General features: G+C 47.7%; 1 long non-coding RNA gene across 2 annotated transcripts, besides 2 other annotated features; it reads right to left on the minus strand.

The window, feature by feature from the left end:
• Nucleotides 1–1475: 1475 nt before the first annotated feature.
• LINC03153 (long intergenic non-protein coding RNA 3153) lies at nucleotides 1476–23134 on the minus strand. Of its 2 annotated transcripts, XR_002958531.2 has the most exons (4): nucleotides 23067–23134; nucleotides 4778–4931; nucleotides 3722–4111; nucleotides 1476–2312 (listed from the first exon to the last, which is right to left on the minus strand). It is a non-coding gene; the product is annotated as a long intergenic non-protein coding RNA 3153 (long non-coding RNA). The 2 variants fall into 2 exon arrangements; XR_002958527.2 differs by lacking the exon at nucleotides 1476–2312 and having other exon boundaries at nucleotides 3832–4108.
• Nucleotides 4393–4893: an enhancer, noted in NCBI's record as "H3K4me1 hESC enhancer chr1:8968192-8968692 (GRCh37/hg19 assembly coordinates)". NCBI's record gives its function as "activates a minimal SCP1, AML or CMV promoter by ChIP-STARR-seq in naive and primed H9 embryonic stem cells {active_cell/tissue: H9 hESC(naive and primed)}" and the evidence as "EXISTENCE:reporter gene assay evidence [ECO:0000049][PMID:30033119]".
• Nucleotides 4894–5394: an enhancer, noted in NCBI's record as "H3K4me1 hESC enhancer chr1:8968693-8969193 (GRCh37/hg19 assembly coordinates)". NCBI's record gives its function as "activates a minimal SCP1, AML or CMV promoter by ChIP-STARR-seq in primed H9 embryonic stem cells {active_cell/tissue: H9 hESC(primed)}" and the evidence as "EXISTENCE:reporter gene assay evidence [ECO:0000049][PMID:30033119]".
• Nucleotides 23135–27652: the final 4518 nt, after the last annotated feature.

Consider the following 27652-nt stretch of genomic DNA (forward strand, 5'->3'; position numbering starts at 1 on the left):
GTCCACCCCCACACATTTGGTCACAGAAGTCTTCTTCTGTGTTGACTGTTGTGGTGTGAGAGTAGAGGAAAAATGCAGTTTGGATAGAGTTTTTTTCTGACACAGGTGGTGATCTTCAGGAACCCACCTGCACCTGTGAGATTCTGAAGACGTGGACCCAGCCTTCACAGGCATCCAAGTTACCTTCCCCATGAGGACTTGTTTTACAGATCACAAAAGACATCTGCACTTTGTATGGCTCCAGCAGGATCTCTCTGATCTGTGAGGATTAATGAGCCAGCCACATCTCTCCCCAGCTTCCTGGACCAATGGCGCAAACCTAGTTCAGAAACCCAGCAAGTTGCCTGAGGCATTAGCCAGGCATCCGTGGTATGCAAGTTTTGGCACTGGTTTGCTGTTTGGATGTTTTTCTCCTTCAGGCGGAAATTTACAAAGCACTCATGCTCCAACTACCATGGCAGAGAGAGGAGGTGAAGCAAATTGTAAAAACTTCAACCTCAGTATTGAGTTTCTCCTTGACTTGTGTTGAAGCCAATGATGGCAAGGGATGTGGATAACCTGGATGTTTTCTCTTGGGATCCACCCTCTCACAGGTGTTCCTCTGAGCACTTTGCAGGATGAGAAGTTGAATAGGGAGGGGAGAGGTCCCCTCTCCTCCCCTCCCCTCTCCTCTCCTTTCCTCTCCTCACAGGGTCTCGCTCTGTTGCCCAGGCTGGAGTGCAGTGGTGTGATCTTGGCTCACTGCAACCTCCACCTCCTGGGCTCAAGCAATCCTCTCACCTTAGCCTTCTGAGGAGCTGGGACTACAGGCACGTGCCACTATACATGGCTAATTTTTATATTTTTTTTTGGTAGAGACGGAGTTTTGCCATGTTGTCCAGGCTGGTCTTCAACTCCTGGGCTCAAGCAATCTGTCTACTTCGGCCTTACAAAGTGGGTGCTGATTTCTCTGCAGCTTATGGACACACCATAAGCTGGGGGCACCCATGGAAGTGCTTTAGCTTGTAATCTCCATCAACATCTCCCACAAGACACCTCCCCAAACTTGATCTGGTTTGGGGAGTCACTGCTGTCTGGAGGAAAACATCTCTAATTTAGCCCTCGAGATTACACATATTAAGTTCAACTAAGTACGAACTCAAGGTATATTAAATACAATTTCCAAACACACCAGCCATCATGAGTGAGAATCAGCAGAAACTATGAATGACAGACTTAGGCCATCTCAGGTTTTTGGAGTGATCAGATACAGATTATTTTATTAATTAATTAATTAATTAATTATTTTTGAGATGGAGTCTCTGTTGCCCAGGCTGGAGTGCAGTGGCATGATCTTGGCTCACTGAAACCTCTGCGATTCTCCTGCCTCAGCCTCCCAAGTAGCTGGGATTACAGGCGTGCAACACCATGCCCGGCTAATTTTTGTATTTTTAGTTGAGATGGGGTTTTGCCATGTTAGCCAGGCTGGTCTCGAACCCCTGACCTCAGATGATCCACCTGCCTTGGCCTTCCAAAGTGCTGGGGTTGCAGGCATGAGCCATCCCGCCTGGCCAGATACAGATTATTAAGCATAGAGTTGTAAGGCAAGCGTTCTGGGTCTTTCTCTTTCTCTGTCTCTCTCTCTTTCTTTTTTTCTCTCTTTTTCTTTCTTTCTTCTTTTGAGACGGAGTCTTGTTCTGTTGCCCAGGCTGGAGTGCAGTGCCACGATTCAGGCTCACTGCAACCTTCACCTCCTGGGTTCAAGTGATTCTCCCACCTCAGCCTCTCGAGTAGCTGGGATTACAGGCACCCACCACCACCCCCAGCTAATTTTTGTATTTTTAGTAGAAACAGTGTTTCACCATGTTGGCCAGGCTGGTCTCAAACTCCTGACCTCAAGTGATCCACCCACCTCAGCCTCCTAAAGTGCTTGGGATTACAGGCGTGAGCCACTGCGCCCCGCCCTGGGTGTCTGTTTCGATCTTGCTGCTCCTCTGAGCCTCCTATACAAAGATTCTGGCGCTACTGCACGCCCTGTGTTTGTGTCCTCTATGTTAAAGTTCTTTTTCCTGGCTAATGTGGTCCAGACATGTTGGAAGGGATTCTAAAGTAACAATCCTGTGACCACGTGACTGTGAGAAGAATTCTTTTCTAAAGAAAAGGATCTTCATCACATACCGACCCATCTCTTTCACTACCTTTAATACCACCTCAGATATCTCTCTTTTCATTTCCTGCAGCCCTTATTGCTTCCGTGGTGTTAGGCCCCTTGGCATTTTGTCATATTTGTTTTTTTCCATTTTGTAGCTGACTGTCTCACCAGTCACTCCTGTCTGGAGGAAAACATTCCCAGTTTAGCCCTTGAGATTACACTTATTAAGTTCAACAAAGCACAGCCTCATGATACATAATTTCCAAACACACAAGGAAGCCAGCCATGATGAATGAGAAACTATGAACAACAGACTTAGGCCTCTTTAGGATTTTGGAGAAATCAGATACAGATTATTAAATAACTACTCATGGATTTTTTTTTGGGTGGGGCGGTGCTGCTTTTTGATTTCTTTCTTTTTTTTTTTTTTTGAGATGGAGTCTTGCTCTGTTGCCCAGGCTGGAGTGCAATGGTGTGATCTCAGCTCACTGCAACTTCCACCTCCTGGATTCAAGCGATTCTCCTGTCTCAGCCTTCTGAGTAGCTGGGATTACAGATGCCCACCACCATGCCTGGCTAATTTTTGTATTTTTAGTAGAGACAGGGTTTTAACATGTTGGCCAGGCTGGTCTCAAACTCCTGACCTCAAGTGATCCATGAGCCTCAGCCTCCCAAAGTGCTGGGATTACTGGCATGAGCCACTGTGCCCGGCCTTGATTTTTTTTTTTTTTTTTTTTTTTGAGACAGAGTCTTGCTCTGTCACCCAGGCTGGAGTGCAGTGGCAAAATCTCGGCTCACTGCAAGCTCCGCCTCCCGGGGTTCACGCCTTTCTCCTGCCTCAGCCTCCCAAGTAGCTGGGACTACAGGCGCCCGCCACTACGCCCGGCTAATTTTTTGTATTTTTAGTAGAGATGGGGTTTCACTGTGTTAGCCAGGATGGTCTCGATCTCCTGACCTCGTGATCCGCCCGCCTCTGCCTCCCAAAGTGCTGGGATTACAGGCGTGAGCCACCGCGCCCGGCGATTTCTATTTTTTTTTTTTTTTTTTTTTTTTTGAGACGGAGTCTCGCTCTGTCACCCAGGCTGGAGTGCAGTGGCACGATCTCGGCTCACTGCAAGCTCCGCCTCCCGGGTTCACGCCATTCTCCTGCCTCAGCCTCCCAAGTAGCTGGGACTACAGGCGCCCGCCACTACACCCGGCTAATTTTTTGTATTTTTAGTAGAGATGGGGTTTCACCGTTTTTTTAGCCGGGATGGTCTCGATCTCCTGACCTCGTGATCCGCCCGCCTCGGCCTCCCAAAGTGCTGGGATTACAGGCGTGAGCCACCGCGCCCGGCCCGATTTCTATTTTTAATAGAGATGGGGTCTTGCTATTTTGCCCAGGCTGGTCTTCAACTCCCGAGCTCAGGCAATCCTTCTGCCTTGGCCTCCCAAAGTGCTGGGATTACAGGTGTGAGCCACTGTGCCCAGCCAAAAATTTTTAAAAATGAGTTTAAAAATGAGCAGTAAGAAGAGACTTCTAAAAATGAGCATGCTTTCTCTGATGCAGAACCAGGGCTGAGCTCACACTAAAGGCCTTTCCACACTTACCACATTCATAAGCTTTCTCACCATGGGTTCTTCGATGCCTAAAAAGGCTTGTACTCCAAACAAAGCTTTGCCCATATTTGTCACAGTTTTGAGGTCTCCTTTTAAAGGCGTTCTGATCTTTTTCATTTAATTTATCCCCAAATTCACAGAATTCTCTGCCTTCAGAATCCTGGAGAACATTCTCTCTGAGACTGCTAGACTCTTCTGTCAATGGTTCAATTTTTGCTGTAATTCCCTCCTCTGAAGCTGGCTTTCCAATCTTGGTCTTGTTTTCACCATCTCGACTTGGTCCCTGGACCGCTGTGAAGCCTCACACCCGGCGAACCTGCCATCGCCCTGTCCACTCTCACGGCACAATCAGGAGCTGTGCTATACGCTCTCCTGGCTCTGCTTTCCAGGGAACAGAAGTAGATATAACAATTTGAATTTCTGCATTGTAATCTGAATCAATGACTCCTGTCTGTACTTGCACTCCTTTTAAATTTAAACTAGACCTACCTAGTTTAAGTAGTAATCCTACTGTCCCCACTGGCATCATCTGATTGCAGACAGCAACATTCTTTAACAGTCCCATTACAAAAGGAGAACCTGGTCCATATTGATTAATAGCTTGCTTAAATTCTCTGAGTAATTTAAAAGAAAAAGGCTCAAATGTAGCTATAATATTTCCCTGATGATCTGGGGGATATATTCTAACAGGGAACTGCCAAGCCTCTATATCACCCTCTCTTCTAGCTTGCTGAATTCCTGTCTGAATAGAACTAAGAGCAGTCATTCGAGGCGCTGCTTGAACAGTCACTGGGGCAACTACTTTTTGCCCAGTGTCCTCTGGAAAAGAAAGATCTGGAGGTCAGGCCACTTTCTGTCTTCAAAATAAGGAGGGGATGCAGGAGGGTAGGGATGAACCTCTTCCTCCTTTGCTGCTTTAGCTTTAGCTGGCAAACAAACCTGCTCTGTCACCTCTTCTGTTACTTCATTATACTTTCCTTCCTCGTCATCATCAGTGTGAAAAGCTTCCAAGGACCCTGATGCTTCTGAGCTCCTCTTCTTACTCACCACGGGGATTGCTTAAGAGTACTCGGGTGTCCTCCAGTTTAGTTTCACGTTCTCCAACTGTCGCTCCGGCGACCCTTTGACCCGGATGTGAGCCCCCATGTTGGGCACCGCTTGCCGAGACCAGCTCAGTCGCGGAGACTCTAACCCGGCGGCACTAGAGGAATTAAAGACACACACACAGAAATATAGAGTGTGGAGTGGGAGATCAGGGGACTCACAGCCTTCAGAGCTTGACTCACATGTTTATTGACAGCAAGCCAGTGATAAGCATTATTTCTATAGATTATAGATTAACTAAAAGTATTCCCTACAGGAAACAAAGGGATGGGCCAAGACAAAGGGATGGGCTCTGGCTAGTTATCACACAAACAATAGCATGAGTGATCTGGTCTGAAATTCCAGGGCTCAAACAGTCTTCACGCTTTGGCCTCCTAAAGTGCTGGGATTACAGATGGGAGCCACTGCACCCACCAGGCCTCCAGTTTTTGAGCCAAGGCCATGCTCTGTCTGGGTAGCCCCAAGACAATGACTAAGCATGCTGGGATACCAGGCCTGGTCATTTCTGCCCAACGGGGCTGTACTGATGGCCTGTATTTGCTCCAGAGCTCCCCGTTGGATTAGCCAAGACGGTTCTGCATCATCGTCTGAGACTCTCCCTGATAAATCCCGCTCTCTCCTGCTTTTTCTTTCACAGCTGCTACCCCCAATACACCCTTTTATTTTAACAGTTTTTGGGGAATAGGTGGTTTTTGGTTACATGGATAAGTTCTTTAATGGTGATTTCTGAGATTTTGGTACCCCCGTCACCCAGGAAGCACACACCATACCCAACGTGTAGTCCCAATACACTCTTTTTTGTTTTGTTTTGTTTTTTTTGTTTTTTGAGACGGAGTCTCACTCTGTCGCCAGGCTGGAGTGCAGTGGTGCGATCTCGGCTCACTGCAACCTCTGCCTCCCGGGTTCAAGCGATTCTCCTGCCTCAGCCTCCCAAGTAGCTGGGACTACAGGAGCACACCACCATGCCCAGCTAATTTTTGTATTTTTAGTAGAGAGGGGGTTTCACCATGTTGGCCAAGCTGGTCTCGATCTCTTGACCTTGTGATCCACCCACCTCGGCCTCCCAAACTGCTGGGATTACAGGCGTGAACCACAGCACCTGGCCCCAATACACTCTTGCATTCCTACGTCCATCTGAGTGCTCACTTCCTGGAGGACCCCACTGACTTAATAATCACATCACAAGACGTCTTACACTCATGAACTGTCCCTACATTAGGCCTAAAAACAGATGCAATCCCCGGACGCCTAAACCAAACCACATTCACCGCCACACGACCAGGAGTATACTACGGTCAATGGTCAGAAATCTGCAGAGCTAGCCACAGTTTTATACAACCATCTGGAGAGGAGAGGTGGGCGGGGATTGGATCCTATAGGACCTTGTGGGCCATGGTAAGGGGTTTGAATTCTGTTCTGGTTCTAATGGGAAACCATTGCATGGTTTTAAGAAGGGAAGGGCAATGGATTCATCTTTTTTTTTTTTTGAGACGGAGTCTCGCTCTGTCTGTTCCCCAGGCTGGAGTACAGTGGCTCGATCTTTGCTCACTTCAACCTCTGCCTGCTGGGTTCAAGCGAGTCTCCTGCTTCACCTTCCTGTGTAGCTGGGATTACAGGCATGCACCACCACGCCTGGCCTGGATTCACCTTTAGAATGCTTTCCCTGGACTGTAGAAAATAGGAGTGAACACAAGAACCTGGTGGTGATCTTTCAGGAGAAAGATCCTGCTTGGACTAGAGTTGCAGCAGGTGAAGTGGGAAGCAATGGTTGGATTCAGGACATGTGTTTGGAGGGAGAGCCAACAGGCTTACTGATGGGTGGGATGACTGGTATGAGCTGGTATGAGCTACTGGTGATAGCATTTGCTGAGATGGGGAAGACAAGGAGGGGAATGGAGCTGGAGAATGAGGAAGGTGGCAGGTTGGAGATGCCTGCTAGACCTCCAGGGGGAGGCAGAGAAGTTGGTTGGGATTACAAGTCTTGGAGGTGGGAGGAGAGGTCAGGCTGGAGACAGACATCTGGGGGGTGATATTTAAAGCAGCAGAGCTGGCTGAGACTGAGGAGAGAATGTGCCACCATTGAGCACAGACGTGCAAGGAAGGAAATGGGCGATTTCCTCATCAATACTCTACTCCGGTACATACAAAATACTGAATGTGTTTCAACAATTAAAACAATGAGGTTGGCCAAGTGTGGTGGGGGATGGAGGGGGGTGGGGTGCCGCGGGGATCACTTTCACTCAGGAGATCGAGACCAACCTGGGCAACACAGCAAAATCCCATCTCTACAAAAAATACAGAACCTAGCTGGGTGGGCTTGGTGGCATGCTTGTAGTCCCAGCTACTCTGGAGGCTGAGGTGGGAGGATCACTTGAGCCCAGGAGGCAGAGGTTGCAGTGAGCTGAGATCACACCACTGCACTACAGCCTGGACGACAGAGCCAGACCCTGTCTCAAAACAAAACAAAAAACCAATGAGGTTGATCTACAGTGTATGTACATCGTGGAAAAGTGTCCATAATACAGAAAGTGAAAAAATCAAACCTCTGAACCATGTGTGTAATAGTCCACCTGCGTGTGTGCGTGACTGTGCATCTGGAGTCTGCAGAAGGGCATGACCACGTGGTTAACAGGTCAACAGCGGCTCCCTCTGCAGAGGGAGCTGGAGGGAAGACAGGAAATGGAGGGATTTGCTTTTGCTTCTCTACACATTGCTTGGATATTTTATTTATTCCTTCATTTTATTTCATTTCATTTTGCTTTGTTTTTAACAAAAGGCATGTATTCCTTGTAGTGTACAATTTCCGGAGCCCACACCTGTTTGCCTGTAGCTAGGACTCAGATCAGATACATTAAAGGATGGCCAGGCAAGAGGCAGTGACATCCTGTGTTCCCTGGGGCAGTTCCTCCCTCCTCCGCCTAAGAACCACAATCTAGGTAGACCCCCTAGAGGGGCTGGGAGGATCCACTCTTCTTTCCCTTTTTTAAGGGGAAGGGTTTGTTTTGGGAGGAGTTCTTTTGTTAGTCAGAGTGGCCCAAGGGCTCCAGAGGTAAATACAAGCACTCCACTCTCTTCAGTCTCTTTTTACATTGCCTTCCCCAGTGGGGTGCTAAGGGCTGGCCAGGGCATGCTTCCACAAGTTCCTTTGATTATTTAGAAAAAGGCTTACATAATTCAACCCGAAGGACTCTGAGAGGTGAATCGAGTGTGCAGGAATCAACTGGACAGTGGCCGAACAGGAAGTTCAAAACTTGTGAATAGCGTTGTTTTGATTAATTAACCATCTCAGTCTCCCAGGGAGGGGTCTCTAAAGACTGGGCAGTAAAAAAAGCAACAACAACAACAACAAAAAAACAACAAAAACCTCCCCAAACTGTGCAGTAATGTCTTTGCCTGCCCTGGAGGGCCCCTTGGGTAGGTTTTATATGAGCTCGGGTGTCTTGAGTGAGTCCACCATCTGGGAGGCAGGCAGTGCCAACTCAGGGGACTGCAGTGGATGGGAGACTGTGTCAGGGGTGACCCCCAGGGGACCCTGGTCCACTGGTTGGCCAACTTTGTTGTTGTCATCTCTGAGGTTGGGCTGATTGAAAGTGGCCGACAGCCGCCCCGTCCGGGAGGTGAGGGGCGCCTCTGCCCGGCCGCCCCTACTGGGAAGTGAGGAGCCCCTCTGCCCGGCCGCCACCCCGTCTGGGAGGTGTACCCAACAGCTCATTGAGAACGGGCCATGATGACAATGGCGGTTTTGTGGAATAGAAAGGGGGGAAAGGTGGGGAAAAGACTGAGAAATTGGATGGTTGCCGTGTCTGTGTAGAAAGAAGTAGACATGGGAAACTTTTCATTTTGTTCTGTACTAAGAAAAATTCTTCGGCCTTGGGATCCTGTTGATCTGTGACCTTACCCCCAACCCTGTGCTCTCTGAAACATGTGCTGTGTCCACTCAGAGTTAAATGGATTAAGGGCGGTGCAAGATGTGCTTTGTTAAACAGATGCTTGAAGGCAGCGTGCTCGTTGAGAGTCATCACCACTCCCTAATCTCAAGTACCCAGGGACACAAACACTGCGGAAGGCCGCAGGGTCCTCTGCCTAGGAAAACCAGAGACCTTTGTTCACTTGTTTATCTGCTGACCTTCCCTCCACTATTGTCCTATGACCCTGCCAAATCCCCCTCTGTGAGAAACACCCAAGAATGATCAATTAAAAAAAAAAAAAAATAACCAACCAGTAGCCCTTGGGGCTGCTCTATGGAGTAGCTTTTGTTTCTCCTCTAATAAACTTGCATTCACTTTACTCTGAAAAAAAAAAAAAAAAAAAGAAAGTGGCCCAAAGACCCAGGGTGATTAAGGTCTCTAGAAGATTCTTGCTATTCTCACTGAGTATTTTAAAACTACATTTTACTACATGGGAAACTCCTCAGAAATCATCCCAGTGTTCTTCTTTTTTCTTCTTCTTCTTTTTTTTTTTTTTGAGACTGAGTATCGCTCTTTCGCCCAGGCTGAAGTGCAGGAGCGCGATCTCGGCTCACCACAACCTTCGTCTCCCAGGTTCCAGCGATTCTCCTACCTCAGCCTCCCGAGTAGCTGGGACTACAGGTGTGTGCTACCACACCTGGCTAATTTTTGTATGTTTACAAAGATTAAATGGGGTGACAAAAATTAGATGGGATTTCACCATTTTGGCCAGGCTGGTCTCAACCTCCTGGTCTCAAGTGATCCGCCATCCTCGGCCTTCCAAAGTGCTGGGATTACAGGTGTGAGCCAATGCGCCCGGCCATCCCAGTGTTATTCTTACTGATTGCTGTGTGTGTGTGTGTGTGTTTGTGCGGGGGTGGGTGGGTGTGGGTGTGTTTTCTTTTCTTTAAAAAGTTTTTAAAATTTGAGTCAGGGTCTTGCTCTGTTGCCCGGGCTGTAGTGCAGTGGCATAATCATGGCTCATGGCAGCCTCAAACTCTTGGCCTCAAGCAATCCTCCCATCAGCCTCCCCAAATCCTGGAATTTAACAGGTTGGCCAAGAGCAGTGAGCCATTCATTGCACCTGACCGTGTGCGTGTTTGCTAAAAAGTGCAGATAACTTACTCCCTGGTTTGTTTTCTTAGTGAGCTCATATTGTCTACCTTCTAAAGACCAAAGCGTCAGGACTGCAGAGCCCCATTCTGGCTTTGGCAAACACGTGGAGTGAGACTGGTTTCCACCTGAGAAATAACCCTTCTGGTTTCCCTCCGAGCATGCTCCTCTCCTGCGCGTTACCTACGTGGTAGGGAGATGGTGTTGCACACTGCAGAGGCTCACCCCATAGAGGGAGAACTTCCTAAACTGAGCTGAGTCCTGGTGTCCCGTGAAACACTCTACAGAGGGTGCCTGGGGGTGTCTTTCTCGGAAAAGACTCCCCCAGGTAGTGAGGAAGGCAGGACCTGGCAGAGGGAGAACCCAGTGTTGCTGGAACTGAGGCCGTTTCTGCAATGAAGCTCTGGTCCCAAATTGAGACATGAGGTCTGGGCCTTTGCATCTCTGTTTCTTTTCACTTTTAATTTTATTTTTTCTTTTTTTTGAGACGGAGTCTCACTCAGTCGCCCAGGCTGGAGTGCAGTGGTGTGATCTCGGCTCACTGCAACCTCCGCCGCCCGGGTTCAAGTGATTCTCCTGCCTCAGCCTCCCGAGTAGCTGGGATTGCAGGTGCGTGCCACCACGCCGGGCTAATTTTTGTATTTTTAATAGAGATGGGGTTTCACCATGTTGGTCAGGCTGGTCTCGAACTCTTGACCTCAGCTGATCCACCCACCTCGGCCTCCCAAAGTGCTGGGATTACAGGCGTGAGCCACTGCGCCCAGCTCTTTTTGCTTTTCGAAAGTATGGCTATTTGAAAATTAAAATGACATCCAGGGCTCACTGGATTTGCTCATACAAAGGCAGGGGCATCTAGACCACAGAGAGTAATCGGTGCTGGTTCAATGGCCTTGAACACTACTCATTTTATCAATGAAAAATCATTCTTAGCTCTCATTGTGCTAATTAACAAACCATCTGGTGTGGATTGGAGATAGAGCTAGAGTGGCTTTTGTTGAGTCTTTCAAATGTAGGTTCTAATCACCCCTGGAATTTCGCGCTCCCAATTCCGCAGCGCTGACTGCCCCTAGAAAGCAGGCTGAAGCTAAGTGACACGTACAGTTGGTGCTGAGGGTTTTTGAAGTAAATTACAGGCACGCTTTTCAAGCTCTGAGCTCTTGAGAAGACCACTGAGCTCAAAGTTAGTCCAACAAATAATGTTCATCATACACAGCATCTTCTGTTTAAGAAGGCAGGAAATTGGCCGGGTGCGGTGGCTCACACCTATAATCCTAGGACTTTGAGAGGCCGAGGCTGGCAGATCACTTGAAGTCAGCAGTTCGAGAGACCAGCCCACATGGCGAAACCCTATTTCTACTAAAAATACAAAAAATTAGCCAGGCATGATGGCGTGTGCCTATAGTCTCAGCTACTCGGGAGGCTGAGGTTGAGAATTGCTTGAACCCAGGAGGCGGATGTTGCAGTGAGCCCAGATCATGCCACTGCACTCCAGCCTGGGCGACAGAGCGAGACTGTATCAAAACAATCAAGCAAAAATGGTTGTTGTCAACACAGTGGGTAACATCTGAACCAAACAAGCCAGGAAATTGAGCACTTGGTTTTAGAAAACTTTTCATCCAAAAAGGGTTAACAGATTTATAATGTGAGTTTAAAGGGGTCATCTCGAGTTTTCAAGAACATTCATTTATGCCAAGCAGCTCCTTCTCCACTGATATCAAAGATATTTTACTGTAGAGGGCACCAAATACACCCCTTCATTATTTTCTCCTTTTAAAGAAAACAGGACAAATTAGTGACCTGGAAGGTTTGGATAAAAACACATCAGAGAAATCATTGTTTTGAGAGTTCTTTTCAGCTTAATTAATTCACATTGGCTGCTCAAATTCATTTTAGGTCTGGAGGCGATTTTCAAACAAAATGTTATGACAGAGATCATAACAAAGATTTGGAGCAAAGATTTCTGTTTGCTGAGCTGTCACTCAAGCTAAACAGATAGCAACAGGGAATCTTTAGGCAAATTAACTTTCCCCTGAATGGGTTCTTTTATCCTGTCCATCTGCATTCATTCCCATGGGTACTTCGAGACCGAGCTAACAAGTCAGATATACATAATAAAGAAAATTGCTCAAGGGAAAAAAAAATCAACTGTTCATTTGGGAAAATGTGGTGCTAGTCTAAATACAATTCTCTATTAATTTCAAGGGGTCTAAAAATCTATCACCAGTTCTTCAAAAAGTTAAACAGACTTATCCTGTGGCCCAGCAATTACATTCCTAGGTACGCACCCCGAAGAACTGAAAACAGATAGTCAAACAAATACTTGCACACAAATGTTCATCGCAGCACTATTCTCAATAGCCAAAAAGTGGAAATTACTCAAAATTCCATCAACAGATGAATGGAGAAACAAAATGTGGTATATACGTATACAACAGAATATCATCCAGCCGTGAAAACAAATTAACTACTGATGTGTGATACAACGTAGATGAACCTCAGAAACATGACCTTAAGTGTTAAAAGCCAGACATAAAGATCATGATTCCGCTTATGTGAAATATATGAATGATCCCCTTTATACGAAATATTCAGAATAGGTGAATTTATCAAGACAGAAAGCAGATCAGTGGTTGTCAAGGGATGGGGAGGGGGGAATGAGGAATGACCGCTAATGGGTACGGGGTTTTCTTTCGGGGTGATGAAAATGTTTTGGAACAAGATAGAGGGGCTGGTACGCAGCATCTGTGAAGGTACTAAATGCCACTGAAGTGTACTTTTTAAAAACGTTAATGTGGTGAGGTGCGGTGGCTCACGCCTGTAATCCCAGCATTTTGGGTGGCTGAGGTGAGTGGATCACCTGAGGTCAGGAGTTCGAGACCAGCCTGGCCAACATGGTGACACTCCGTCTCTACTAAAAATAGAAAAAAATTAGCCAAGTGTGGTGGCGGGTGCCTGTAATCCCAGCTACTCAGGAGGCTGAGACAGGAGAATCACTTGAACCCAGGAGGCAGAGGTCGCAGTGACCCGAGATCTTGCCATTGCACTCCAGCTTGGACAAGAGCGAAACTCTGTCTCAAAAAAAAAAAAAAAAGTTAATGTGTCCAGCACAGTGGCTCAAACCTGTAATCTCAGCATGTTGGGAGGCTGAGGCAGGAGGATCACTTGAGCCCAGGAGTTCGAACCAGCCTGGCGCACAGGATGAAACCCTGTCTCTACTAAAAATACAAAAATTAGCCGGGCATGGTGGCACGCGCCTGTAGTCCCAGCAACTTGGGAGGGTGAGGCAGGAGAATCACTTGAACCTGGGTGGTGGAGGCTGTGGTGAGCTGAGATTGCGCCACTGCACTCCAGCCTGGGTTACAGAAGGAGACTATGTATCAAAAAAAAAAAAAAAAAAAAAAAAAAAAAAAAAGTCCGGGCGCGGTGGCTCACGCTTGTAATCCCAGCGCTTTGGGAGGCCGAGGCGGGCAGATCACGAGGTCAGGAGTTTGAGATTATCCTGGCCAACATGGTGAAACCCTATCTGTACTAAAAACACAAAAATTAGCTGGGTGTGGTGGCTCGTGCCTGTAATCCCAGCTACTCGGGAGGCCAAGGCAGGAGAATTGCTTGAAACAGGGAGTTGGAGGTTGCAGTGAGCCGAGATCACACCACTGCACTCCAGCCTGGCGACAGACTGAGACTCTGTCTCAAGAAAAAAATATATAAAAAAAGTTGCTCGTGCCTGTAATCACAGCACTTTAGGAGGCCGAGACGGGAGGATTGTTTGAGCCCAGTAGTTCAAGATCAGCCTGGGCAACATAGCAAGACCCTGTCTCTATAAAATAGGAAAAAAAAGAGGTTAATGTTGTATTATATTACTTTAATTTTACCCCAATATGAGTTTGTAAACAAATCAAGTTCTCTGTAAACAAGTATTTGATGGTCTGGAAAATGGGATTGCCTCAATATCCAAACAGCCGTTTCTGGGCAGCTTCCTGACCATCCGGTAGGTTTCTTGGTCCAGCCCTGAGTCTCCTTGGCAATGCATCAGGGAGACACCAGGCTCATTCCTCTTTCCTCGTGGCTTCCATATCTTTCCATCCCTCAGCCCTCCGCAGAACCAGCTGTTTGCGGTCACACCGTGGATCTTGTATGAAGCAAAAACAAAAAAAACAGGGCCAGGCGCGGTGGCTCACGCCTGTAATCCCAGCACGTTGGGAGGCTGAGGTGGGCAGATCACTTGAGCTCAGGAATTCAAGACCAGCCTGACCAACATGGTGAAACCCCATCTCTACTAAAAATACAAACATTAGCCAGGCACGATGGCTCATGCCTGTAATTCCAGCACTTTGAGAGGCCAAGGTGGGTGGATCAAACTCCTGAGGTCAGGAGTTTGAGACCAGCCTGACCAACATGGTGAAACCCTGTCTCTACTAAAAATACAAAAATTAGCCGGGCATGGTGGTGTGCACCTGTAATCCCAGCTACTCGGGAGGCTGAGGCTGGAAGATGGCTTGAACCTGGGAGGCAGAGGTTGCAGTCAGCCAAGATTGTGCCACTGCACTCCAGCCTGGGTGACAGAGCGAGACTCTGCCTCAAATACAAAAACAAAAACATAACAAAAATTCTGCACAGTATTTTTCTGACCACTGGGTGTCATGAGCGTACAATAAATGCTTCAGCTGGAAAAACTGCATATTTACAGGACTGCCTTCAATATGGTGGTGGTTCTCCTGACTGCAGGGGATGCGGCAGCAAGTAATAAACCCTTCAAAAGTTGCTTTGTTTTTGCAAGCAAGACATTGAGAAGCAGAGAAAATGTAGACAGTTGAAGATAAACAAAAACACAGCACTGGCTGCTTCTTTGCGTTTTCCAGAATATTTCAGTGGAGCAGCTGTTACGGGAGGAATATAAAAATCTAAAGTAAGGCTGGGAGCAGTGGCTCACTACTGTAATCTCAACACTTTGGTAGGCTGAGGCAGGAGGATTGCTTGAGGTCAGGAGTTCAAGACTAGCCTGGGCAATATAGCAAGACTCTGTCTCTACCAAAGCCAGAAAAAAAAAATCTAAAATAAAGTATTCTTAGGGACACCTCTCAAGAATTGTAACTAAGAGGTGGGCAAGGTGGTTCCTGCCTGTTGTTTCAGCTACTGAGTTTCAGGCTGCAGCGTGCTGGGATAGCACTTGTGAATAGCCACTGCTCTCCAGTCTCGGCAACATAGCAAGACCCTGTCTTTAAAAAAAAAAAACAGTTCTGAAAGAAAAATGAGCAACCTTGAACCCTTTGGCCTCAGACAGTACAGGGCTTGCTCACCTAGAAAGTTAAAATAAAGAAAGTGGGCCGGACATGGTGGCTCACGCCTGTAATCCCAGCACTTTGGGAGGCCGAGGCGGGTGGATCACCTGAGGTCAGGAGTTTGGACCAGCCTGACCAACATGGTGAAACCCCATCTCTACTAAAAATACAAAATTAGCCAGGCATGGTGGCACGTGCTTGTAATCCCAGCTACTCAGGAGGCTGAGACCAGAGAATTGTTTGAACACGGGAGGTGAAGGTTGCAGTGAGCCGAAATTGTGCCACTGCACTCCAGCCTGGGCATCAAGAGCGAAACTCCTCAAAAAAAAAAAAATAAATAAATAAAATTAAAAAAGCAAGCAAGCAAGTGGTTGCTTATTGTCACTATTTATATCCCAATGACTGGTCTTTTAATTTTACTAGAGAGCAACTTCCTTGTCAATTGCCCTGAACAGAGTTGATCTCACTTCAGAGCAGTATGATTATGAATTTTCAGCTCTACCAAGTTTTGGCATCAGCATTTCCTCATTGATAAAAGTACTCTTGATTTCTTCTCTCAGCTGGGGTAGCTCAGAGAGGCCTGAATGTGCAAACCAGTACCTTTATTTATTCTTCTTGGCTGTGGAAAATCGTCCATTATAGGAATATTGTTAACATTTTTTTTGGGGTGGTGGGGGTCGGAGTCTTGCTCTGTTGTCCAGGCTGGAGTTCAGCGGCATGATCTCGGCTCTCTGCAACCTCCGCCTCCCAGGTTCAAGTGATTCTCCTGCCTCAAGCTCCTGAGTAGCTGGGATTACAGGTGTCTGCCACCATGCCCAGTTAATTTTTGTATTTTTAGTGGAGACGGGGTTTCACCATGTTGGCCAGGCTGGTCTCGAACTCCTGACCTCAAATGATCTACCCACCTCAGCCTCCCAAAGTGCTGGGATTACAGGTGTGAGCCACCGTGCCCGGCAACGTTTTTTTATATAATGTTTTTTTGAGATGGAGTCTTGTTCTATCGCCCAGGCTGGGGTACAGTGGTGCAATCTTGATTCACTGCAACCTCTGCCTTCAGGGTTCAAGTGATTCTTGTGCCTCAGCCTCCTGAGTAGCTGGGATTACAGGCATATGCCACCATGCCCAGCTAATTTTTGTATTTTTAGTAGAGATGAGGTTTTGCCATGTTGGCCAGGCTGGTCTCGAACTCCTGGCCTCAAGTGATCTGCCTGCCTTGGCCTCCCAAAGTGCTGGGATTACAGGTGTGAGCCACAGTGCCCTGTCAACTTTTTTTTTTTTTTTAAGTTAAGAATGAAGGTCAACAAATTAAGTTGGAAGTAAACCGGGGCTCTTGATAGGTTAAATCTAACACATCCAAGGACACCAGGGTCATTTATACCAACAGGGTCTGTCTACAAGTTATAAGGTTTTAATGTGTTTTATTTTAGAGATGGGGTCTCGCTAAGTTGCCCAGGCTGTATTTGAACTCCTGGGTTCAAGGAATGCTCCTGCCTCAGCCTCCCAAATAGCTGGGACTATAGGTGTGTGCCACTGGGCCCAGCTTAATTGTTCTTAAAAGCCTATCTATGTTCATGAAGGTCAAAGTGTTGAAATCTGGCCATGCAGGGTGGCTCACGTCTGTAATCCTAGCACTTTTGGAGGCTAAGGCGGGCAGATCACTTGAGGCCAGGAGTTTGAGACCAGCCTGGCCAACATGGCAAAACCTCATCTCTACTAAAAATACAAAAATTTAGCTGGGCATCATGGCATGCCCCTGTAATCCCATCTGCTTGGGAGGCTAAAGCAGGAGAATCACTTGAACCTGGGAGGGGGAGGTTGCAGTGAGCTGAGATCATGCCACTGTTCTCCAGCCTGGGTGACAGAGTGAGACTCTGTCTCAAAAAACAAAAAACAGGCTGGGCGTGGTGGCTCACGCCTGTAATCCCAGTACTTTGGGAGGCCAAGGTGGGCCAATCACCTGAGGTCAGTGGTAGAGACCAAGTTACCCCTCCCTTCCCCCATAAGCCTCACAAACAGCTCTTGTAACTCCTCTGTGAGGCTGCTAAACCACTATAACTTCCTCCTCAGACTGCCCCCATTACCCGTCTTCTTTGTTCTATTCCAGTGATTGTTTTTGCAAAATTCCAAAACAGACCCAGGCAAACAGACCCAGGATATAGTCCCACCTGGAAAATCCCCAAGCCTCACCCCCTATATCAATCCCCTGCTTTGCTAGCTCGGGGCTGCCTCCTCTGACTATAAAGGAACAGCCCGGCAGGTTAACAAACTTGCTGGCCTGACTTTGGGTCTACTTGTCTTATCTCTCGGCAACCCTTACATTTTAGTGCCGAAACCCGGGAAGGGGATAGGCTCTGGCTGGACATCCTTAAGGGACTCTCCCTCTCTCTCTCTCTCTGTCTACTCCCCATCGCCATCACCCCTTCTCCCAGCTGTCCTCCCCTTCCCAAACCTGCCAAAGACCCGAAGAATCTCCTAGACTCTACCATTGCTGGCGACTGCATCCACCATCAGGGCCTCCACAGGGGTCAGTAAGAGAGACCCTTACCATTTACCTGGAATCCTTGACCGACTCTTTCTTGCCCGAAAGACCCAGCGCTGGGTCAAGGGCTTCCTCCAGCCTCCAGGCCTTTAGTTCCTCCATCTCGGGGATGCCTGATTCGGGGGTTACCTCCCTTCTCCTGGCACGATCGGCAGGACAGGGGATGCCTTCTCCTGCCGTTCTTGTCATCGGCAGTCTCTTCTTCCTCTACCCTCTCCTTCCCTTCACCATGGGAGCCTCTCAGTCTACCCTTTCCAAGATTACCCCCTTCAGGTGTCTCCTGCGCAATCTCAATGCTCTCTGCCTCTGTTCAGAGGTCCGTCCTAAGAGGCTTATCTTTTACTGTAACACTACATAGCCTCAATATAAATTAGACAGTGGTTCCCAATGGCCCGAAAACGGCACTTTCGATTTCAGTGTACTCAGGGACTTAGATAACTTTTGCCATCGCAATGGAAACTGGTCTGAGATTCCTCATGTCCAGGATTTTTTCACCCTCTGTTGCCATCCTTCTCTTTGCCAGTCCTGTTCAACCTTCCAAATCCTCCCTGCCTGCTCCAAGCCTGACTCGTCTTCTGCTTCCCTCCCATCAGCTCCAACCGACGACTCCTCTTCTTTTGACCCTGCTGACTTTTCCATTCCCCAACCGCGCCCTAATCCTCCTCCCCATCACCCCGACCCTCCACCGTATGCCCCTGCTCCAGCTCTGTCCCCTTCTCCTCCTCTCTCAAACCACCTGGCTTCAGACTGTAAGTCCTCCCTGTCTCCACTTCTTACCTGCTCCCGGACCCGGGATGCCCTTCCTTACTCCCGCTCCGAGAGGTCGCAAGAGCTGAAGGAATTGTCCATGTCCATGTTCGTTTCTCTCTTACTGATCTTTCCCAAATCAAAAAGCATCTTGGGTCCTTCTCCTCTGATCCCAATACTTACATCAAAGAATTTAAATATCTCAGCCAGTCTTATAAACTTACTTAGCATGATCTCTATATTATTCTCTTCTCTACCCTCTTTCTGGAAGAGAAGGAAAGAGTGTGGCTCTCGGCCCAGGCACATGCCAATGACCTCCATCAGGAAGATCCTACTAAGCCAGTAGGGGCTGCAGCAGTCCCCCAGGAAGAGCCTTCCTGGGAATAGCAACCCACAGACCCCAGCCGAGCGTCCTGAAACCATATGGTTACTTGCCTCATTGTAGGCCTTAACAAAGCTGCTCACAAAGCTGTAAACTTTAAAAAAACTCAAAGAAATTTCCCAAAGAGCAGATGAAAACCCTGCTGAGTTTCTTTCCCACCTTACAGAGGTTCCCCAAAAATATACCTGTGTTGATCCTACCTCCTGTAAAATGACTATTGTCCTCAATACTCATTTTATTTCCCAATCAGCCCCAGACATTTGGCGCAAACTTAAAAAGGTCGAGGATAGCCCTCAAACCCCACAGCAAGACCTCCTTAACCTGGCTTTCAAAGTCTTTATAACAGGGTTGAGCAAAATAAATTAAATAAAGCCCAAAGAGATTGTGCTAAATACCAGCTTCTAGCAGCGGCTATCTGTCAGCCTAGGCATAGTACCGAAGGGCACAAAAGATCTGATAGCAGCATCCCTCGCAGGCCTTGTTTCAAGTGCAGCAAGGAAGGCCACTGGGCGGGGGCATGTCCTAATTCACGAGTACCAAAGAGCCCTTGCCCGGTTTGTCAACAGATAGGTCACTGGAAATCTGATTGTCCCCTCAACAGTCAGACAAACCTGTCCCTCCAGACCTCCACCTCTTCAGCAACACAAAGGGCGAAGAGCCGCTTGCACTCTTGCAGCTCCTTGGCCTGGCCACTAAAGATTGACAAGGCCCAGGGCCCCCGGCCCCATCTGCCATCACTGCATCAGAGCCCAGGGTAACTCTACTAGTGGCAGGTAAGCCAATCTCTTTTTTAATTGATACCAGGGCCACCTACTTGGCTTTGCCTGAATTTTCAGGACCCACTCATCCCTTCCAGGTCTCAGTTGTAGGGGTTGATGGACTTATTTCTCGTCCACGTGTCACCAGGCCTCTCACCTGTTCCCTGTTTGAAACTGTCTTCTCACACTCTTTCCTTATCATGCCTTGCTGCCCAATCCCTATTTTAGGACGAGATCTTTTAGTCAAATTCAAAGCGTCTATCACTTCCTCCAGTCTCCCTCCACCGGAGTCTCTCCTGCTTCTCGCGCTACTTCAGCCCCTGACCCCTCTCCCCAGTACCCACTTCCCGCCTCCCTTGTTGATCCAATTATGTATGACACCACCACCCCTTCCTTAGCCACTCACCATGACCCCATCAAAATTTGGCTCAAAGACCCTTCCAAATTTCCCAATGTCCCCCAGTACCCTATTTCTCTGACTCACCAAAGAGGCCTACAGACCATCATAAACAAGCTCCATGCATGTGGTCTTCTTAGACCAACACGTTCCCCATATAACACCCCCATTCTCCGTTAAAAAATCAGATGGCTCATACTGACTTGTCCAGGAACTCTGAGCCGTCAATCAAGCTGTCCTCCCTATTCATCCCATAGACCCCAACCCATATACGCTTCTCTTTCTCATCCCTCTGACACAACCCATTACACTGCTATTGACCCAAAGGATGCCTTGCTCTTTCGCCAGGCTGGAGTACAGTGGTGTGATCTCAGTTCACTGCAACCTCTGCCTCCTGGGTTCAAGTGATTCTCCTGCTTCAGCCTCCTGAGTAGCTGGGACTACAGGTGCCCACCACAGCATCTGGCTAAATTTTGTATTTTTAGTAGAGATGGGTTTTCACCATCCTGGCCAGGCTGGTCTTGAACTCCTGACCTCATGATCCACACGACTCGGCCTCCCAAAGTGCTGGGATTACAGGTGTGAGCCACTACACCCAGCCAAGGATGCCTTCTTCACCATTCCTTTATACCTGGATTCCCAAGACCTCTTTGCTTTCACCTGGACTGACCCTGACATCCTCCAGTCACAACAACTCACATGGACTGTCCTCCCTCAAGGCTTCAGGGATAGCCCTCATTTCTTCGGACAAACTTTCACCCAGGACCTCACCTCCTTAGACCTCTCTCCTAGCCGTCTCCTTCAGTATGTGGATGACCTTCTCCTTTGCAGCCCTTCTCTAAAAGACTCTCAAACTCACACAGTCACTCTTTTAAACTTTCTCGCTGCCAAAGGGCATAGAGTTTCCCCTTCCAGGGCTCAGCTCTCCATCCCCAAAGTGACTTGCTCAGGAGTTCAACTTTCTCCTGGGGCCCAGGCTATGACCCAGCCTGAGCAGCACTCATAAACAATCTGCCCCCGCCTTCCTCCAAAGATGAAATCCTTTCCTTTCTAGGGCTGGCAGGCTTTTTTAGAATACAGATTCCCAACTTTGCCCTTCCGGCTCACCCCCTCTATGAAGCAGCCAAAGTCCCCCTCAATGAACTCCTAAACCCCTCATATAACATACTCCCCAATTTCCACAAACTCCAAACCACTCTTCTCACTGCACCGGCTCTGTCCTTACCTGATATCACCCAACCTTTCACTGTCTGTACTGCCGAGAACCAAGGAACAGCCCTCAGTGTACTAGGGCAACAGAAGAGAAATCCTCCTTCCTTTGCCCCTGTAGCCTACCTCTCTAAACAACTCGATAACACAATCAAAGGGTGGCCTGCTTGTCTTAGGGCTTTAGCAGCAGCAGCCATTCTAGCTCTAGAAAGCAGGAAACTAACATTCGGACAAAACACCACCATCCACAATCCTCATAATCTACAAGATCTCCTCACCTCCCGAGCATTAAGCTCCCTTCCTCCTTCCCGGATTCAATCACTCCATGCTCTCTTTATCAAAAATCCTGAATTCAGCCTTGCCAAGAGTGCTACCCTCAACCCAGCATCCTTCCTGGGAATACCTTACTCCCTGTATCCTCTTCCCCTCCTACTCATTCTTGCACTGAAATCCTAGACCACCTGCAGCCACATTTCCCAAACATTTCCTCTGAGACTCTCACCAACCCTGATGACCAGCTATTCATAGATGGCTCCTCTTCTGGGACCACTGGCTCCCCCAAAATTGCTGGATACGCAGTTGTTTCTCTTGACTGAGTAATTGAAGCCAAGCCCCTACCTCCAGGAACCTCCTCCCAAAAAGCAGAACTTACAGCTTTCACCAGAGCCCTAACCCTTTCCAAAGGCAAATGAGTCAACATTTATACAGACTCCAAATATGTCTATCACATCCTTCATTCCCACACCACCATCTGGCAAGAGAGGGGATTCCTTACTGCCAAAGGGAACCCCATCACTAACGGCCCCCTTATTTACCAACTCCTTCAGGCTGTACACCTGCCAACTCAAGCAGGAGTTATACACTGTCAAGGACCCCAAACAGGATCAGATAACATTTCAAGAGGGAACAGAAAGGCTGATGAAGCAGCAAAAGAAGCCTCCCTTTCTTCTGCCCCTGCTTCTCTCCTCCTCATTGCCCCTGCAGTCCAACCCCAGTATTCCCTCACTGAGAGAGCTTCACTACTACAATGAGGGTCTCTGCCTTTATAGACAAAGCCCTCACCCTCGCCGGAAACTATCCTACCACCTTAGCTAACAGAGCTACCAAACTCCTCTCCACATGTACTGCCAACTACAACTGCTCCAAGCTCCCTCACCCTACCATTCAAGGCCCCATAACCCTCGACACCACTAGAATTGGCCAAGTCCCCTTATGTATCACTTCTTCCAATAGACACGTACACATAGGCACCGTCCCTCCTTCCACCTGTAATTCAACCCAAATCATCTTTCACCCGTCTTCCCACACCTCACTCCGAGTAGATTATTCAGTCTTTCCTGAAGCCAACGGTCTCCTCACTCAGCCCCTTCACATCACCTCTCCCCCGGCCTCTCAGACATAGAAACTCCTTCCCCAAACAGGGGTTCTCAAAGAGGTCTCTCTCTCCTCCTCACTCTGGGTTGCCGAAGCCAAGCCTAGGCTCTCTAAATGAGGAACGTACATGCTACAGCATCTGTTCTCAATTCACTTGTCTGTTTGTATCAACACCTCAGGCATCTTTTTCTTCTGTGGCTCCACGATCTACTCCTGTCTCCCTACCAACTGGACAGGTACCTGCACCTTAATTTACCTTACCCCCAATATTAATCTCGTTCCCCCAGACCAAGAACTCCATATGCCCGCCACAGTCCATGCCTGTTCAAAGAAGGCAATACAATTTGTTCCTTTATTAGCAGCCCTCAGGGTCACAGCAGGTGTTGGACTAGGAGCTGGAAGCTTAGGAACTTCATTATCATATTTTCAGTCACTCTCCAAAGACTTTCAAGCATCATCAGAAGAGATTGCAGATTCTCTCACTCACCTCCAAAATCAATTAGGCTCTCTAGCAGCAGTTACCCTACAGAACCGCAGAGGCCTTGATCTTCTTACAGCCGAAAAGGGCGGTCTCTGTGTCTTTTTAGGTGAACAATGTTGTTTCTATCTCAGCCAATCTGGATTAGTATGAGATGCGGTCAAAAAACTCAAAGACCGAGCACAAAAATTAAGGGACAGTCAATCCACATGGCCTCAGTGGTTCAGTAACTCCTGGGCTCCCTGGCCTCTGCCCCTCCTAGGTCCTGCTATAACCCTTTCTTTCTTTTTAGCATTTGGCCCCTGCCTCTTATGTCTCCCTACCCAGTTTTTACAGAACCGTATCAGAGCATTCACCCATGGAACAATACAAGACATGATGCTGCTCCAAGGATACCAACCGCTCCAAACCCAATCTCCACCATCCGGCCTTTCCCCTTAACCAGCGACCCTCTTTAGCTTGAAGTAGCCAGATGAGAATGGTGCCCCTCTTCTATTATCTATTATCTATTAAAAGGCTGAAATGTTTGAGACAAAGCTACCCCTCTCTTCCCCCATAAGCCTCACAAACAGCTCTTGTAACCCCTCTGTGAGGCTGCTATACCACTATAACTTCCTCCTCAGACTGCCCCCATTACCCATCTTCTTTGTTCTATTCCAGTAATTGTTTTTGCAAAATTTCAAGAGGCCTGGCAAACAGACCCAGGATATGGTCCCACCTAGAAAATCCCCAAGCCTCACCCCCTATATCAATCCCCTGCTTTGCTAGCTCGGGGCTGCCTCCTCTGACTATAAAGGAGCAGCCCGGCAGGTTAATAAACTTGCTGGCCTGACTTTGGCTCTACTTGTCTTATCTCTCGGCAACCCTTACAGTCAGGAGTTTGAGACCAGCCTGGCCAACATGGTAAAACCCTGTCTCTACTGAAAATACAAAAATTAGCTGGGTGTGGTGGCAGGTGCCTGTAGTCTCAGCTACTTGGGAGGCTGAGTTGGGAGGATCCCTTGAACCCAGGAGGCAGAGGTTACACTCCAGCATGGTTGTTACAGTGAGACTCCATCACAAAAAAAAAAAAAAAAAAAAAGAAAGAAAAGAAAAGAAAAAAGAAAGTAACCCTTGGCTCATGCTAGGTTAAAGTAAATACTTCTTCTTTTTTTTTTTTTTTTTTTTTTTGAGACAGAGTCTCACTCTGTCGCCCAGGCTGGAGTGCAGTGGCACGATCTCGGCTCACTGCAAGCTCCGCCTCCCGGGTTCACGCCATTCTCCTGCCTCAGCCTCCCGAGTAGCTGGGACTACAGGTGCCCGCCACCACGCCCGGCTAATTTTTTTGTATTTTTAGTAGAGACGGGGTTTCACTGTGTTAGCCAGGATGGTCTTGATCTCCTGACCTCATGATCCACCTGCCTCGGCTTCACCAAAGTGCTGGGATTACAGGCGTGAGCCACCACGCCCGGCCTAAAGTGAACACTTCTAGCCAGGGTTATTTTCACCCATGGGTGGGTCCATCTGTAAGTCTTAAGGATTTTAATGATTCTTAAAAACTACTCCCAGCTGGGTGTAGTGGTGTGTGTCTGTAGCCCCAGCTACTCGGGAAGCTGAGGCAGGAGCATCGCTTGAGCTCAGGAGTTTGAGAGCAGCCTGGGCAACACAGCGAGACCCTGTTTCTTAAAAAAAAAAAAAAAGAAGAAGAAGCCTATTCATGTTCATGAGTGTGGGAATATTGAAATCCCAGGCCCAATCCATTAACAGACCATAACAGGTCTACCTTCAATATATTTTCTAAGTGATGTTTAGAAAATATACACTGAAACAGTGTATATGTGAGGATGTATCACTTAGGAATGCTTTCAGATGCAAGTAACAGAACATCCAATTACCAGTGACCCAATAAAAGAGGAGTGGCTGGGCATGGTAGCTCATGCCTGTAATCCCAGCCCTTTGGGAGGCTGAGGCAGGTTGATCACGAGGTCAGGAGTTCAAGACCACCCTGGCCAAGATGGTGAAACACCGTCTGTACTAAAAATACAAAAATTAGCCGGGCATGGTGGTGCGTGCCTGTAGTCCCAGCTACTCGGGAGGCTGAGACAGAGAACTGCTTGAACCCAGGAGACGGAGGTTGCAGTGAGCCTAGATCACACCACTGCACTCCAGCCTGGGTGACAGAGCAAGACTTTGTCTCAAAAAAAAAAAAAAAAAAAGAAAGAAAGAGGAGTAATTTTTCTTGGAAAACAAGACATCTGGTGGCAATTGCTGGCACTGCCTCAGGTGCCCTATGGAGCTTTTGAGGACCCAGGCTCTTCTTCTCTTCTGCTCCACTGTCGTCAGCATGCTGGCTTTTTATCTTCATGGCTGCAAGATAGCTGCCACAGCTCCAGGCATCAGACCTAATTTTAGGACCAAAGAAGGGAGGTGAAGCAATGCTGTCACGCTCCCCTGCTCTCCTCTGGCCTGTTTTTTGTTTTTCTTTTTTCGAGACAGGGTCTGGTTCTGTTGCCCAGGCTAGACTGCAGTGGCGCGATCATAGTTTACTGTAGCCTCTACCTCCTGGGCTCAAGTGATCCTCCTATCTCAGCCTCCCCAGTAGCTGGGACCACAGGTGTATGCCACCACATCTGGTTAATTTTTTTTTTTTTTTTAGACAGAGTCTTGCTCTGTCACCCAGGCTGGAGTACAGTGGTGTGATCTCAGCCCACTGAAACCTCCACTTCCTGGTTCCACCTTAGCCTCCTGAGTAGCTGGGACTACAGGCACATGCCACCACACCTGGCTAATTTTTGTATTTTTAGTAGAGATGGGGTTTTACCATGTTGCCCAGGCTGGTCTCGAACTCCTGACCTCAAGTGATCAACCAGCCTTGGCCTCCCAAAGTGATGGGACTACAGGCGTGAGCCACTGCAGCTGGCATGCCTGGCTAATTTTTTACATTTTTTATAGAGATGGAGTCTCACTTTGTTGCCCAGGCTGGTCTCAAACTCCTAGCCTCAAGTGTTCCTCCTGCCTCAGCCTCCCAAAGTGCTGGGATTACAAGTATAAACCACCGTGCCCAGTTGCCTATTTTTATAAGAAAGCAAAACCTTGCCCAAAAGTGTCTCCAGGGCCCTGTATGTCTCATTAGCTAAAAGTGAGTGACATGTCTGCCCTTAGCCACAAGAGGGGCTGGGAAGGGGGCAAGGGAAGGGGATTGGTGTCTGCCACAGTTGAGTAAATGGAAGAGATTGATCAATAAAAGATGACACTTACATAAGGGACCAAAAAAGCCCAGCAAATATGGTCTGAAAACTACAAAAGTCTTGGGAAGATCATTCAGCCATTTATTCATTCATTCCTTCTATTCAATCCTGTTAGGATTTTTACATCTGAGTTCATGAATGGCACTGGCTTATAATTATTTTTCATGCTGTTCTTGTTAGATTTGGGTGCCAAAGATATATGAGCCTCACAAAATGAGTTGGAGAGAGTTTTCTGTTTTTGGCAAACTTTTCCTGTAAAGGGCCAGATGGTAAACATGTTGGGTTTTCCAGGCCCTGTGTCTCTGTTGTGACTGCTTGGCGCAGCCGTTAGAGTGTGAGAGTAGCCACAGACGATACGTAAAAGCCAAATTGGGCCCACAAGCTGTGGTTTACCTAGCCCTGTCTAAGCTATGTTTTATGTAATTTTGGAAATGTTTGTTTCTTCAATGTTTGGGAAAACTTGCCCATAATATGTTATGGGCTTGTTTTTGATTCATGAGAATAGTTTTCTACCGTTGGTTTGATTTCTTTAATAAATACAGAATTATTCTGATTGTCTCCTCTTAAACATTGTTAAGTTATATTCTTGTAGGAATTTGTCTATTTGATCTACATTCTCAAATTAACGGACAAAGAACTTTTCATTATTAACTTTTTTTTTAATCACAGTAAAATATACACAACATAACATTTACCATCCTAACCTTTTTTTTTTTTTTTTGAGATGGAATCTCGCTCTTGTCTCCAAGGCTGGAATGCAATGGCGCCATCTCGGCTCACTGCAACCTCCGCCTCCCGGGTTTAAGCAATTCTCCTGCTTCAGCCTCCTGAGTAGCTGGGATTCCAGGCACCCGCCACCACACCCGGCTAAGTTTTGTAAATTTAGTAGAGGTGGGGTTTTACCATGTTGGCCAGGCTGGTCTCAAACTCCTGACCTCAGGTGATCTGCCCACCTCGGCCTCCCAAAGTGCTGGGATTACAGGCGGGAGCCTCTGCACGCGTCCCGTCCTAATCTTCTAATCATTTTGAGGTGTACAGTTCAGTTATGCATGTTCACATTGTGGTGCAACCAATCTCCAGAACTCTTCATCTTGTAAAACTAAACATGTAAGCCACTTTTTTTTTTTTTTTTTGAGACCAAGTCTCACTCTGTCGCCCAGGCTGGCGTGCAATGGCATGATCTCAGCTCACTGCAACCAATGCCTTCCTGGTTCAAGCGATTCTTCTGTCTCAGCCTCCCATGCAGCTGGGATTATAGGTGCGCACCACCACACCTGGCTAATTTTTTGTATTTTTAGTAGAGACGGGGTTTCACCATGTTGGCCAGGCTGGTCTCAAACTTCTGACCTCAAATGATCCATCTGCCTT

The sequence above is a fragment of the Homo sapiens genome, chromosome 1 (assembly GCF_000001405.40).
Source record: "Homo sapiens chromosome 1, GRCh38.p14 Primary Assembly".
Classification (NCBI taxonomy): domain Eukaryota; kingdom Metazoa; phylum Chordata; class Mammalia; order Primates; family Hominidae; genus Homo; species Homo sapiens.